Source organism: Homo sapiens, chromosome 9 (assembly GCF_000001405.40).
Source record: "Homo sapiens chromosome 9, GRCh38.p14 Primary Assembly".
In the NCBI taxonomy this organism is placed as follows: Eukaryota; Metazoa; Chordata; class Mammalia; order Primates; family Hominidae; genus Homo; species Homo sapiens.
The window spans coordinates 98,968,009-98,982,949 of NC_000009.12; the positions used below are offsets into that span (position 1 = coordinate 98,968,009).

The 14,941-nt window shown below is 49.1% G+C and overlaps 1 protein-coding gene across 1 annotated transcript in view, besides 2 other annotated features; it reads left to right on the forward strand.

Moving 5' to 3' along the window:
• Positions 1–14,941, forward strand: part of COL15A1 (collagen type XV alpha 1 chain) — a 126,881-nt gene that overhangs the window by 24,102 nt on the left and 87,838 nt on the right. The window lies entirely within an intron of this gene.
• Positions 3,045–3,622: an enhancer, noted in NCBI's record as "H3K27ac-H3K4me1 hESC enhancer chr9:101733335-101733912 (GRCh37/hg19 assembly coordinates)". NCBI's record gives its function as "activates a minimal SCP1, AML or CMV promoter by ChIP-STARR-seq in primed H9 embryonic stem cells {active_cell/tissue: H9 hESC(primed)}" and the evidence as "EXISTENCE:reporter gene assay evidence [ECO:0000049][PMID:30033119]".
• Positions 3,623–4,200: an enhancer, noted in NCBI's record as "H3K27ac-H3K4me1 hESC enhancer chr9:101733913-101734490 (GRCh37/hg19 assembly coordinates)". NCBI's record gives its function as "activates a minimal SCP1, AML or CMV promoter by ChIP-STARR-seq in naive H9 embryonic stem cells {active_cell/tissue: H9 hESC(naive)}" and the evidence as "EXISTENCE:reporter gene assay evidence [ECO:0000049][PMID:30033119]".

Sequence of the window (14,941 nt, forward strand, 5' to 3'; positions counted from 1 at the left end):
CACTTTGAGAACCACTGGCGTCATGGATAAGCAGACGGGCTATGGAGTTTGAACCCAGGTTGTCTGGGTCCAAAACCTGGCCCAGCCACTTGCTAGCTGTGTGACCTAATCCCTCTGCACCTCAACCTCCTCATCTATAAAAACAAAGGTAATAAGAACACCCTCCTCACTGTTACTGTGAGTATTGGATGACCCAGTCCAGGCAACTCACTTGCAATCGTGCTTGGACACAGCACACAGTAAGTAAGCATTCAGTGAATGTGTGAGTTTCCTAGGGCTGCGGTAACAAACGACCACAAACTGAGTGGCTTAAAACAGTAGTAACTTATCCTTGTCCAGTTCTGGAGGCGAGAAGTGTGAAGTGGAGGTGTGTGGGCTGGGTGGCACTCCTCCTGGGGCTCTAGCAGGGAATCCATTCCTTGCCACTTTCAGCTTCTGGTGACTGCCAGCAATCCTTGGCTTGTGTCCACTTCATTTTAATCTTTGCCTCTGTGGCCACATTGCCTCTTCCTCTTCTGTCTGTCAAACCCCCTCCATGTGTCTTATAAGAACACCTGTCATTGGATCTAGTGCCCACCCAGATAATGCAGGATGATCTTTTTATCTCAAGATCCTTAACTTAATTACATCTCAAAGACTCTAAATGTAATGAACATATTTAGAAATGAGGACATGGACATATCTTTTCTGGCGGTCACCACTGAACCCACTTTAGGGAACACAGGCTATTATCATTATTAAGTTGTTCCTTCAGCTCCTGCAGTTGGGCCTGGCCTATAGCTTCCTGCCTGGGGGCGGGGGCGGGGAAGGAGGAGTAAGCTGACTCCCAGGTTCCAGCTTCTGGTCAGCTGCACTTTATTCAAGACAACCCATTTTCAGGCTGGGGCAGAGAATTCTGCCTATTAAGCTATACTGGCTATGTTATAGCATTTCAGCATGTTCAGATTTCATTGATCTGAGAAAAAAACGCCAATCCCAGCCCCCCAGACTCCTGTCTGGAGCCCTTTGTCCATGTTAATTGTTCCTCATACCCTGGCAAGTTGTACTTGGCAAAGCATTTTCTCATTCAAAACTCTACTGGATCCTCACTGCAGTCTCATGAGAAAGATTGTATCACCCTATTTTGCAGAAGAGAAAACTGAGGCCCAGGGGAAAATTGCACAAAGCTGCCTTTCATGGCAATTCTAAGCAGTAATTTATGGGAGAGAAAAGAAGGCTAATGTCACTGATAATACTAACTACCACCACCGCTATGCTTCATTCATCGTGGGCCTTTGCTTGGCCCTCTGCTCAGTGTTTTATGTCTATTATCTCAGGTCATTCTCAAAACTCTCTCCTGAAGTAGGTAGCATTCCTCTTGCGGATCGAGAAACTCTGGCTCAGAGAAGTGAAGTATCTTATCCAAAGTTGCCCATCTTTTAAATGCAGAGTTGAGGTTGAGTCTTTCTCCCTAATACCAGGTTGCTCAGAGATCCGTCTCCTAGCTCTGAAAAAATGTCAGGGCAGACCAGAAGAGAACAGTGGCTGCCCAGTGGCCAGCAAGACTGTGGGAGACCCCCTCTCGTTGTCAGCAGAGCCCCGCTCCTGGTAGCTGGTAGGGAGGTGCCCAGTGTTGATGCCCCCAGCCATAGGGAGGGAGTCAGGGCAATGGGAATAGAGAGGCAGATGGGCCCAAGGTCACTGAGGGCTGGGACAACAATAAGGGTGTGCTTCCTGGAGTGGGTCAGGCTTGGGTTGAAGTGACATTCCTGGAGAGCAGCAGAGACAGACTCAATGCCTCGCATCAGACAGATGAGGGCTTAAAATCTCCAGTCTGGGATTTGATAGCTGGGTGCCCTTGGGCAAGTTATTTAACTTCCCAGTGCCTCATTCCTTCATCTGTAAATTGGGAACAAAAAGAGTGGGGTTGTTGTGAAGAAGTCAGGGGCTATAATTAGCATCAACTGGGAAGTTTGTGCAGCCTCCCCATGCCCAAGCCACACCTGAACCAGCTCAATCAACATCTTTGGGAGTGAGGCAAGAGCATTAGTAGTTTAAAAAAAAAAAAAAAAAAGTCTCCCCAGGTGATTCTACTGTGCAGCCAGGGTTGAGAACCACCGCTATGCAAGTAAAGCACTTCGTGCCCAGGACATAGTAAGGGCTCCGTATACAGGAACTATTGCCCATTCACTCATGCACAAAACAAACATTTATTGAGCACTTACCTATGCCAGGCTCTGGATTACATGCCAGGCATCACCTGTTCACAGCAGCTGTCTGAATTTATTTATGTACTATTTCTAGATAGCTTCCAATAGAGGGATCGTGGAATTCAGTGCTTTGTGAAGCCAGGACCCCAAGTCCATAATTCTAGGGAGAAGGTTTTACTGACAACGAGGAAAGGAGGGAAATGCAGAAAATGTACCCAAATCAGAGAAACCAAACCCTGTGTGTGGGAAGAGCAGTCTGAGCTCTCTGAGCCCTTAAGGGGGTAGCAGGAGAAGACAGTGTGGGCTTCAGACTTTCTGTGGGCTCCTCTGTAAATATCTGCCCCTACAACACCCCAGCTTCCACAGCTGTGATGTGGAAGGGCTTTCAATGATTGGTTTGATTGTTTTTAGCCTCAGAACTCTTCATTCAAATGAGACTTAATGGAACCCAAATTATTAAACAAATGAAGTCTGAATTGCTTGGGTGTATGTATATGAGTGTAGGTGAGTGTGTGTGGATGTGGGTTAGTGTGTGGGACAGGGTCTATGAATAGGTTGTGAGTGTGTGAGTAGGTAAGTGTGTGCATGTGTCAGTGTGTGAGTTTGTATGAGTCTAGGGTGAGTGCGGGTGGAGGTGCATGAGTCGGTGTATACTGGAGTATATAAACGTGTGTGTATTTGTATATCTATGTGTTAGTTTGTGTGGCGTGAACCTTCGAAAGTATGTGTATGAGTGTGTGTTATGAGTATGTGAACCTATGCGTGTGTATGAGAGAGTGGTAAGAATAACAGATTTGTACTGTGTATTTGTGGATGTATCCGTGTGTGCATGTGTTCCTGTGTGTTAGGGGGCCAAGGGGCAGGACTTCTGCTAAGGCCTCCTGTATCCTCCTCCCTTTCTCATCCCCAGCCCTGGAAAATACTGCTTGAAACCCCCTGGTCTATGTGTCTACACTGGCCCTGCCAGCAGTCCTGTGTCGCCTTGGAATGCTGGGCCTGACGGCTTCCAGGAGCCATGGGCTGTAGAGCATCCATGTCCAGCAGGTCACTGCATGCTCCCATCCCATGCCCCTCACGTGCCCCTGACAGGCCCCTTTTTCTCCGTGCCATTTTCCATGTGTTTTCCTCCCAGAGCCCTGAGCTGAGCCCTCCAGAGCTGCCTGCCGGGTGGGGGTGATGACTCATTTCAGTTGATGTCATCCTCAGGATTCAAGGCTCTCAATGCACTCAAAGAGTCTTTGTTCCCCAAATGGAAAAGGAAAGTCCGTACACCGAGAAGAGCTGACAACGAAACTCTTCCCAGATGCCCATGGGTGCTCACGCCTGCCCGCACCTGCTGGCCTTCACTGTGCCACCTAGTCCACATGGTCCCTGGGGTGGCTTTGTGCCCAGGATCCAGGAAACAGAGGTTGAGGGAAGGGGGTAAAGGAAGGGACGTAAAGACCCCCACTGCAGCAAGACAGCAGGAACCACTGCTTCTTCCTGAGATTGGATATGCTCTTGCACTGCGGCTAACTGCTGCCAGGACTGAGGGGTCCGCGTGTGTGCGCATGCACGTGGGCATGTGTGAAGGGAGCGGTGGTGAGCAGAGCTGGGTCACAGGATAGGGGAGTCACCCCATGCTCTCAGCAGAGCCGGGTCACAGGATGGGGGAGCCACCCCACGCTCTCTCTCTCTGGGCTGCTCTCCTCAGTTCCTTATCCGCTGGGCCTGTTCATCAATTATGTTGCTAATTCTTTCATGGCTAGCAGGTGGTTGTGAGGCTGAACGGAGGTGCTGTACTGACAGCTTGAGAGTGCCCCGCCCTGGTCAGCACCCAACCCAATGAGCGAGGACTCCCAGTGTTTACCAAATGCTCACTACACACCAGGCCCTGTGCGAAGTAGGGTTCTCACTGTGTTGTCCGTTCTCACAATATCTCTGTGAGCCAGGTCCTAGTGCTGCCCCACTTTATAGATTAGGAGGCTACAGAGGGGCGAGGTGATCTGTGGAAAGGCCATGAGTGGCAGACCCAGGACTAAGCATAGGTCTGTCTGATGCCAAAGCCCAGGCAGTTAGCCCTTACCCGTGGCTGTCACTTGAGAGTGGGCATCAGATTGACGCAGGCAAGACCCTGAAAGACTCTGATTCCATAGGCCCAAGCAGGAGGGGCAGACCTCTGACTTTTAAAAGCTCCCAGGGGTGACTCTGATATGTGGCTAGGGCTGCAAACTTCACACCAGCCTACCTTACCTAGTCCCATTTGAATCTTGACTCCAACTGCTTATTAACCTCATGGATTTGGAACAGTAATTTAAGCCTCAGTTTTCTAACCTGCAAATGGGGATAATAATATCATCCATCTCAGAAAGAATCAAGTGTAAGGATGACTGATTTGTGGAAAGCCCTTTGAACAGCACTTGGCATGCAGCAAGCCTGCAGAAAATTTTAGCTGCTGATGCTGTTGTTTCTTGACATTCTGTTCATTCAGAGTCCCCTTTGCCAGGCTCTGTGCTGGTGCTGAGGACCGAGAGATGAGTTGGCATGGTCCATGCCCAGGGCCCATGTCTAAGCATATGAGAGCAAGGTGAACTGGCCACTGGACTGCAGACAGATGAGGGTGTCTGGGAGGAAGGATGGAGGGGGACTGAGGGAACACAGAAGTATGCAGCTGGGCCTGGGAGAGCCACAAGGAAAGCTTGAAAGGCAATGGGCTGTAACAGGCAGAGCCCAGCTTCACATCTTCAGTGCTGGCTGCTGCACCGAGGATTCTGAGTGAGTGACTTCCTGTCTCTGGGGCTTGACTCCCTACTCTGCAAAATGAGAGAATGATCCCTGCGTTGCCTGCCTCCTGGCAGAAGGAACGGGTAAGAGGATGCTTTGGAAACAGAAGAGGATACTGGACAGGTGAGGATTACTTCCTGCTGGGCTAAGTGCTTTTCAGCTGCTGGCCAGGAAAACCAAGCTTCAGCCAGGACCCCAGCTCCAGGCTTCCTCAAATCGTCTTCTCCAGTTTAGGTCAGAGGCTCGAGAAAGCAAGAACGAGAGAACAAGAGAGCAAGAGAGAAAGAGAGAGAGGGAGAGAGAGAGAGAGAGGGAGGAGAGCTTATACAGTAACTTCATTGAACAGGAAAATTCCTATGCTATATATGAAAACCGGAAAAGAGAAGGAGGCGTTCTAAGTTTACATGTAGAAAAATGCTCTTCTGTAATTCAGAAAAATAGGGTCTTTGATTGTGGCCGAGCCAGGTCTACTTTCTAAGTTGATCCAGGATTTTTTCCCTGGCAAGGAAACAGTTCTTTTTTAAGAAATGCATCGGGTGATAGGTTTTTCTAAGAACCTCTCGCACCTTTGCTGGGTGCAGATAAACCCTCAGGCACCGTGGATTGTGTTGTGTTCATTTTCCTCAGAAAGGGAGTCAGGTGGAAACGGGAGCCCCCAGAGACTCCAGCCTGGGTGGGGCTGAGTTTCCACACAGGCAGAGAGCTGTGACATTTTCCTGAGCACAGTGCTCCTTGCCTCTGGCCAGGCCTTGCTGGCTAAAGACAAGGAAGTCTGTGGGGAGGGCTGGGTTTGTCCCGGCCCCTGTTGGAGTCATTCCTTCCAGGCCTGAAGGCTGTGGACTGAAAGAACCGGCAGTTAGGGGCGGTTAGAAAAACTGAAACACTGGCGGGAGACAAGGAGGAGGCAGACGATGAGGCTGTCAGACCTGGCAAGGGCCTTTGGAAAATATTTAGTCCAAGGCTCTAGTTTGACAGATATTGAACCTGAGGCTCAGAGAAGGGAAGGGACTGCTCAAAGTCATATGCCAAGTTGGTGGCAGAGTCCACCTTGCAGGCTGAGGCCCTTTCCACCACCCCATGCAACATCTGAGAGGTCAGGATGTAGAAGTTGAGGCCGACTTGTGTGTGGTCTCAGAGGGGTAGAGAGCTAGGCCCAGCCAGGTGGGTGGGAGTTGCAGGGGCGGTTGCCTCAGTTCAACATGAGAAAGGACTTCCGAAGACTTCGAATTGTGCAGCAATGGTCAGGTGGCCGTGAGTGGAGATGAGCAGGTGGAAGCCAGGTGGCTTTGGATGGGTGAGCATTGTAGGAAGCTCCTCCCCAGGTGGTGAGCTGCACTGTCCCACACAGTCTGCGGTTGCTGAACTCCTGTCCCTCCAGGGAGGTGGGAGAAAGGGAAGTCACATGCCAGATGTGATTTAGACATACCCAGGGTCCTTGGGGGCCACCTCTCTGTAGGGGTGTCCAAAGGGAAGGGAAAGAACCGTCCCAGAAGATGCAAGAACCCCACCCTCCCAACTTGCTGGCAGGACAAGCTGACAAAGGGCAAGGAGGAGGGACACGTGGCTTCTCCGACGGTCTGCCCCCCATGCTGCAGGCGCAGAGGAGGGGGACTGAGCACCTCCTCTTCTCCCCAGGGACTGAGTGCCAAGAAACTCAGGTGAGAGGAGCCCTTCTGGGGTCCCAAGGGCAGTCCCCCCACCTTACCCTACATACCCTCATCCTACTGGTCCAGCCCCAGGCCACAGGCAGTATAGGGTCATCTGGACCCCCTCAGCCCCGGCCCCCCAGTGGGAATACACCCACCCGCTTGCAGGAGTCACCGTGGCCCCGTTTAAGCTGACTGAAGTGTGCCGTCGGTCTTTAGAGGCGTGTGTGGGAATGGTAGAAACCCAGGAGGGGCACCTTCAGCCTTTCCCAGCACTCGGTGCAGAGAAACAGCAGAGGAGGGAAAGGAGGCGTTATGGGTTCTAGGCCTGGCTTGGCCAAACTCACTGCATGGCCTCAGACCTGCTCTCTTGGGTCCCTTAACAGACCTTTCGCTTTGAGTCTGTTGTTGGGATCCCGGTTCACAGCGCAGGTGGAAAGCCTTCCTTGCAGTTGGTGGAAGCGCAGTTCCCGTAGAGACCGCCAGGAGCCGCTGCCGCGCACGGTCCCGGGGCGTCCTCAGCCTCCCTCGCGCCTCCGTCCGGACATATCCGCAGCGCTCCTTCACCTGGAGCGAGGAACGCTCCTTAGCCTCCTCTGGCTTTAAATGCTAACTAGCGCTAGCGCTGGGCTCAGGTCCCAGATGATCGTCTGTGAGAGGGAGCTTTGCAAAGCCAGCTACAGTTCTCTAGGGAGGCAAGGCTCCAAAGCTCAGGCTAGTCCCGGGCACTGCTTCAGGACCCCACAGATGGAAGGACTGATCCAGCCCATCGCACGGAAGGGGAAACCGAGGCCCAGCGGGGTAGGGGAGGTGCCAGATGATGTCCCTGAGCCTGTGGCAGAGAGGAGGAGGAGAGGTGAGAGTTCGCTCCTGTTCTTCATCTCTGGCCAAATCGCTGTCATCTGTGTGGAAGGAAAACCTGAACCCTGCTCTGTTTGTTTCTTCATGGCTGGGATTCTGCCTGGTTTCCATGGAAACTGGCTTTGGACCCTTGGGAGGAAAGTCGCACCCTGCCCTGACTGCTCAGATTTTCCTCTGCCTCCTCTGTCTCTGAAACCGTCTGATTTCTCCTCTCTGCGCCCTGAGGAGGGGCCACCCCAAAACTGCACTTAGGAGTCTGAACTAGATTTGAGGGAGGGAGGCTCAGGTTGTCTCTCCCTGTGTCCGTTCCTTCACAGCATCCCCTTGGCTCTGTGGATGTTTAGAGGAGGGGGGATGACTTTGGCCCTTTTTGCAGAGTGAGAGTGGGGCCCCCGTGTGTTGGGGTGCAGCTGAGCCTGACTGGAAAGATTTAGATGTAAGAAGATGGGGAAGAGTGATGTCACTAGAAGGAATAGCATGAGTGAAGGCAAAGACACGGGGGGAGAATGAGGAGATGAAGCAGAGGGTGTCTCGAGTAGAATTTTGCTTTTATGCTGAAGGCACTGGGGAGCCATTGAAGGCTTTGGAGCTTGTAATAGGAGCAGATGACTACTAATGGTCACCTAGATAGTGAGCTGCTTGAGCACACATGTTCCAGGCTTAGCTCCATGTCTCCAGCACTACACAAGGCACAATGTGGGAGCTTTAGAAATATGATCAAATTCATGAATTGGAAAAGTAAGTTGAAAACCCCCATTGGAAATGAAGCTATCTCTAAGCATTAATGAAGTGAGAGAATAAGACCGGTCAGATGCAGCCCCAGGAAGTGTTTGAAGGCAGTGAAAATACATAGAATAAATCACAGTGGATGTGGCTCTGAGAGTCTATCTGGTCTAACTCTCTGATGGGAAAACTGAGATCAGGGAGGGGGACTAGCTGGCCCAAGGTCACAGACAGAGTCTTGAACCTGAGTCCTTCCTCCCCTCCCTGGGTCTCTCATTGCCCCATGGATTCATGCCTCCCAGATGGGCTCTCTGGGCCAGTGGATCCAGCATCGTGGAGATGGGAGGGAACGTGGACTTTCAGGTGATGGATGGGCATGCAGTGAGGTCACTGTTGGATGTCAGACTGGAGCCCGACCTCAGTGACTCTCACCAGGGCCTCAGACTGTGAGCCTGGCACCTTCAATTCAGGAATGCCTAGGATTTAGTTCAGCCAGCAAACACTTCCTGAGGACCTGCTCAGGGACAGAGCCTGGGTGTGGGGGAGACAGGGAGAAGTGGACGCCAGTTCCTACACTTAAGGAGGTTCCAAGATGGTAGGGTCCAACACCTTAGTCATATAATGCCATATATGCTACATAGAGTCAGGGCCAAGTGCAGGAGCGGGAATGCCCAGACTACCTGGTGGGGGAATCCAAGAAGACTTCATGGAGGAGGTGATGACATTGAAGTTGGGCCCTGAGATGTGTGGAGCAGTTCCTCAAGTGGAGGGAACAGCATACACAAAGGCTCAAGGGTGTAAAATGTAGGACCCATTCAGGATACCTTGAGTTTTCCAGTATGACAATTGCATGGGAAATAGCAGGGTAATAATAATAGGGAAAGAAATGGCAGCTACCATTTATTAAGCACTCTGTGTGCTAAGCAGTGTGCTAAACATTTTAGGTATATTATTTTATTTAAGTCACACAACTGTCCTCTGAGAGAAGTATTATTATCTGGGGATAAGTGTGGGCCGCTTCCAAGAATCCTCAGGCTGCAGAGTTCCATCAGCATGCTCCACGCCAGTCCCCAGTCCCCTCCAAAATGGTGGGATGTCTTCCCACCAGCTGTGATCTCCACCCTCCTCCCTTCTTGCCCAGCACAGAGCCATCCAAGGTCAAGCCCATGGACCCAGTTGCTGGGCCTGTTTGTCTTGGCTCCCTGGCTTCTCCTCCCCTCCCTGGTGGCTGCCTAAACAGGTGGCCCTCCTGCTGGAGGCCAAAGGGAAATGAGCCAGCAGGCCCAGGCGCAGCCGCGAGTGAGCATGGGTCACTCCAGGTCAGGGGTCGTCCCCTACCACGCCATGCCATGGGACAGTGGATGTGGAAGGATGTGGTGGGGGTTGCTGAGAGCAGAGCTGGGCTGCTGGGGCTGACTTGGGCTTGCTCTACATTCATGGCTGGCCTCCCTCTTGGCGGACTCTGTGGAAACAAGGCCTGCGGGCCAGCGCCTATCCATGTGTCCTGTCTTGAATGGCTGAGGTCTAGGGGGATGGAGGGTGGGAGGGTTAGGAAGGGATCTTTTTTGCAGACTTTGGTTTTTGTTAAGCTTATACCTTGCATTTCCCATCTGTCGTCTCATTGAATCCCCACATGGGAAGTGGGCAGGGACCTCCCCTGATCACCAGGAAGTCATCGCCCAAAGGCTTTGTGTTTGGTAAAGGGCAAAGGAGGGGTCTCATCCCAGCTGTGTCCAAGGAAGAGGATGTTCTCCACTGCAGGCTGCCTCCTTTGCCCCCTCTCCAGCTGACCAACCATTGGCCAGGACCTGGAGTGGTCGGGGCTGTGGGAGGGCACCAGCTCTGGGACTCGTGGTACCAAGACTCTGTCCACCCTTGCTTGGCTGCCCCATCTGTTGCTTCCTGGCTGTGCCTCCTGGCCATGGAAGTCTCCCTGAACATCAATTTCCCTGTCTAGAAAACAAGGATGTTGGATAGATTCATGAATTTTTGTTTTTAAGCAGACTCCTAGGCATAAGAATTCCCAGAATTGCCACATGCAAGCCTGGATCTACTGGCCATGGGAAGCACTAGGCTGGTTTAAGCAATGAGCTTTCTGAGTGGGAGCCTCTCAGGCCCTTCTCCCTGTGTCGCCTGAACGCTTAACCTGGCCCTGGATCCCTCAGAGACACCACTTGGAAACAAGCCACAGGATGTGAAGCTCTGGTGCTTTTACTCTCTGTGGCACCAGGAATTTTCCGAGCAGAAAGAGGCTTCCCCCTCCTGTTCCCAGCAGGAAAGAGAGAGGAAATAGAGGAAAAGCTTTTTACTGGATTGGATAAGCGAAGAAGAAAGCAGAGCTCTCAGTAGGGTGTTTGTGGTTTTGTTTTGTTTTTGTCTTTAAACCGTGGAGGAAAGAAAAGAAATCTCAGTGGGATGTGTGGTTTTCTTTGTTTCTTTTCCTTCTTTTTTTCTTTCTTTCTGTACAAAGATAAGCTGTATCTGAGTGAGGAAAAGCAAGAAGAATAGGTTTTATGATTTCTATAAGTGGATGCAAGGAGATAATCTCTTTAAAAATATGTAGATGTCTTTACTTTTCATACCATGTATATGCTGTAAAATAGAAAAAAGTATAAAAAGATATCCAGTGAAAAGCAAGTCTCCCAGCCCCCAGCCACCAGCTTCCTTCCCTGGAGACAACCACTGCCCCGTTTCTTGTGTATTCTTCTAGAGCTATTGTAATATACCATATATATTTAAATATATATGGTATATTTAATTTGTATTAGTACATACATTTCCAACTGATAGCAATTCACTTCTGCACCTTATTTTGTCTGTTTTTATATAGTACATCTTGATTGTTTCATATTAGTACTTAAGGAATCACATCTTTTGAAACGCTGCCTTGGATTTCGTTGTGTGAACCTGTCATCATTTATTATATTAATCATTCCCAAAGATGGGAATTTTAGGTAAATTTAAACCACGATGCTGTGAATATTTGTGTATGTACTTTATATTTCACATATGTAACTTTATCTGTTAAAAAATTCATAGACGTATGACTGCTGGGTCAACAAGTACATGCACATTTGCCATTTTGATAAATGTTATTAAATTGCCTCCCACCACGTTATAACAATTTATGCTCCTGCCAGTAACGCAGGAGAAGGCCTGCTGCCTTAAACCCTTGCCAACACAGCGTATTCTGGTCTTTGCCAATCTGATAGGGAAAATGGTATCCCTTCGTAATCTTAACTCATTCTATCATTATGAATGAGGTTGAGTATTTTTCATATGTTTAAGATTTTAATTTCTTTTACTGTGTCTAGAATTTTCTATTCTTTGCCCATTTTTCTTTTGGGTATTCATTTACTTTGCATATTAGAGAAATGAGTTTGTTGCTGTGATTTTTGTAGCAAATATCAGTCATTTCATGGTTTTGGGGTTTTCTTTGACATTGCAGGGATTATCTTTATTATTATTATTATTATTTATTAGTTCTATGCAGAACATTTTTTTCTAAGTGGTCAAATTTAACCAAATTTACCAATCTTTTAACTAAAATTAATTTCTGTTTTAAAGCAAGTTGTAAACTGGAGAGGATAAGCATTCAATTGAGAATCAAATCTGAGTTCATGGCCAGCAAACACTTCCTCTCTATTAACCTTAGTTTAGTGTTTTCTAAAATGAGGTGATTGGAGGCTGAGCGCAGGGGCTCACACCTGTAATCCCAGCATTTTGGGAGGCCGAGGCAGGAGAATCACTGATTCCAGGAGCTCGAGACCAACGTAGGCAATATAGCGAGACCCTGTCTCTACAAAAAAATGAAAAAATTAGCTGAGTGTGATGCTGCATGCCTGTAGCCCCAGACATTTGGGAGGCTGAGAGGTGGAAGGGTCATTTAAGCCTGGGAGGTGGAGGCTGCAGTGAGCTGTGATCATGCCACTGCATTCCCACCTGGGCAACAGAGCAAGACTCTTGTCTCAAAAAAAAAAAAAGAGGGGACTTGAGAATATGTACACATTCATTCATTTGTTCATTCATTCACTATAAGCCCTGGGTTGGTTACTGGGAAGACAGATGGCCCAGTGGGAAGAGAGGCAAGTGACCCAATAGTGACATGCAGGGGCTATGATGGAGGACCCCGTGTGTACAGAGAGGACTTCTAATGCAGCCCCCAGAGGGGAGGGTGTGGGTGCGGGAGGTGAAGCGAGATTTCAGGGGAAGCGAGGCCTGGGCTGATGAGCAGGAGTCATTCAGTGAAAATAACTGGGCTGGGCTGGGGCAGATGGCACAGAGGAAAGCATTCCTGGCAGGGGTGGGAGTCCCTGGGACAGCATGGGGCACGCTGGGGCTGTGTCAGGCATGTCAGGGAGTAGGGAGTGCAGCTGGGTCCTGACCACAGAGGGCCTCTTGAGCCAGGTGGCAGCAGCCTGGTCAGCCCTGGCCCTGAGGGCCATGAAAAATCCTATTTCATAGAAGGCTTCTAAGCAGGATAGCAACAGGATCAGATGTGCTCTTTTGTCGAGGAGGGGTTAATCGTTTTCATAAAAATTGTATGAAATATTTTCCATGAAATTTGCTATAAAGAAAAATACAATGAATATTTCTTTTGAATACCACCTGAACAATTAACACTATCACTACCGTTGAAAAGCCCCGTGGACCTCTCCCAAATTGCATCTCTCTGCCTCCCCTAAATGTTGGCAAGAATATGCTGCTGGTGGGTCTGCGACATGCATGACACGGTTGCTTCAGAGAACAATTTTGCAATATTCAGGGAAGCTGTAGGTGCACATACCCATATTATCCAATAATTCCACTTCCAGCTGTGGAATTACCTGCACAGGTAAGCAGGAGGAGATGTGTATAAGGGAGTCCGTGGCAGTATCATTTGTAATATTGATGGAAACCTCACCTTCCACCAACAGAAATGTGAATCAACCCATTGTAGCTTATTTATACCATAGAGTACTGTTGTGAAAATATAAGGCCAGGCCAGGCGCGGTGGCTCATTCACGCCTGTAATCCCAGCACTTTGGGAGGTCAAGGTGGGCGGATCACCTGAGGTCAGGAGTTCGAGACTAGCCTGGCCAACATGGCGAAACCCCGTCTCTACTAAAAGTACAAAAATTAGCCAGGCATGGTGGTGGGCACCTGAATCCCAGCTACTCAGGAGGCTGAGGCAAGAGAATCGCTTGAACCCAGGAGTCAGAGGGTGCAGTGAGCCGAGATTGTGCCACTGCACTCCAGCCTGGTCAACAAGAGCGAGACTCTGTCTCAAAAAAAAAGAAAAGAAAATATAAGATCAGAGCCACATGTATCAACAGGGATAAATCTAAAAAATACAATGCTGAGTGAAAAATAAAAGCAAGTTTCAGAAGAATGTGTGCATCATGCCACCATTTATATGAGGTGTAGAACACACACCATGGTTCTACATTCTGTTAGAAACACGTATCGAGTGGACATACAAATGCGTGGGAGTGATAAACACCAAATTCACAAGAATGGCTCCTGCCAGAGCATGGGCAGAGGAAAAGGACTGAAGAGAGTTCATGGGAGCTTCAGCTGAATTGATACTGTCTTTCTTACGTGGAGTGGTGGGCACATACTTGTTCCTCATAATATTATAATTATTTTTTTTAGAGACAGGTCTCACTCTGCCACCCAGGCTGGAGTGCAGTGGGGTGATCATAGCTCACTGTAGCCTCAAACTCCTAGGCGCAAGTGATCCTCCTGGCCCAACTTCCAGAGTAGTAGATTACAGGCACGCACTACCACATTCTGCTAATTTTTAAATTTTTTGTAGAGATGGTCTCTCTGTGTTGCCCAGGCTGGTCTCAAACTCCTGGCCTCAAGCAATTTTCCTACCTTGGCCTCCTAAAACACTGGAATTACAGGCATGAGCCACCATACCAGGCCCTATTTTAAAATTTTAAAAAATGATATATATAGAGAGAGATAGGGTATTTCTTTGTTGCCCAGGCTGAAGTGCAGTGGCATGATCGTATTTCATTGCAGCCTCAAACTCTTGGGTTCAAGTGATTCTATCACCTCAGCCTCCCGAATAGCTGGGACTACAGGCACACATGACCACACCCATTAATGTATAATGTATTTTATTTATCCATTGTTTTTCAAAATGATTTCAACATATAATCAATATAAATAGTATTGAGATATTTTTCCAAGCAAAGTCTTTGAAATTTAGTTTGTAGTTTACATTTATGACACATCTCAGTTGGGAAGACCCATTTTTCAAGTGCTCAATAGCCATATGTGGCTACTGGTTATCAAATCAGACAGGGCAGGGTCTGGTACGATAGAAACTTAGAGGTCACCAGTTACAACCTGATACAACTTTATCAACAGATAGAGTTGTGTCAGGTGACCTCTGCGGTTCTTTTCTAAACCAGCAAGTCTAGATGACAGTGATGACGATGATGATGATGATGATGGCTGCCTTTTTTCTTTTTTTTTTTAGACAGGGTCTCGCTCTGTCACCCAGGCTGGAGTGCAGTGGCATGATCATGGCTCACTGCAGCCTTGATCACCTGGGCTCAAGCAATCCTGCCACCTCAACCTCCTGGGTAGCGGGGACTACAGGTGCACACCACCTGGCTTTTTTGTTGTTTTGTGGAGATGAGGTCTCACTATGTTGCCCAGGCTGGCCTTGAACTCCTGGGCTCAAGTGATCTGCACTCCTTGGCCTCCCAAAGTGTTGGGATTACAGTTGTGAGCCACAGTGTGTCCAGCCATGATATCCACCAC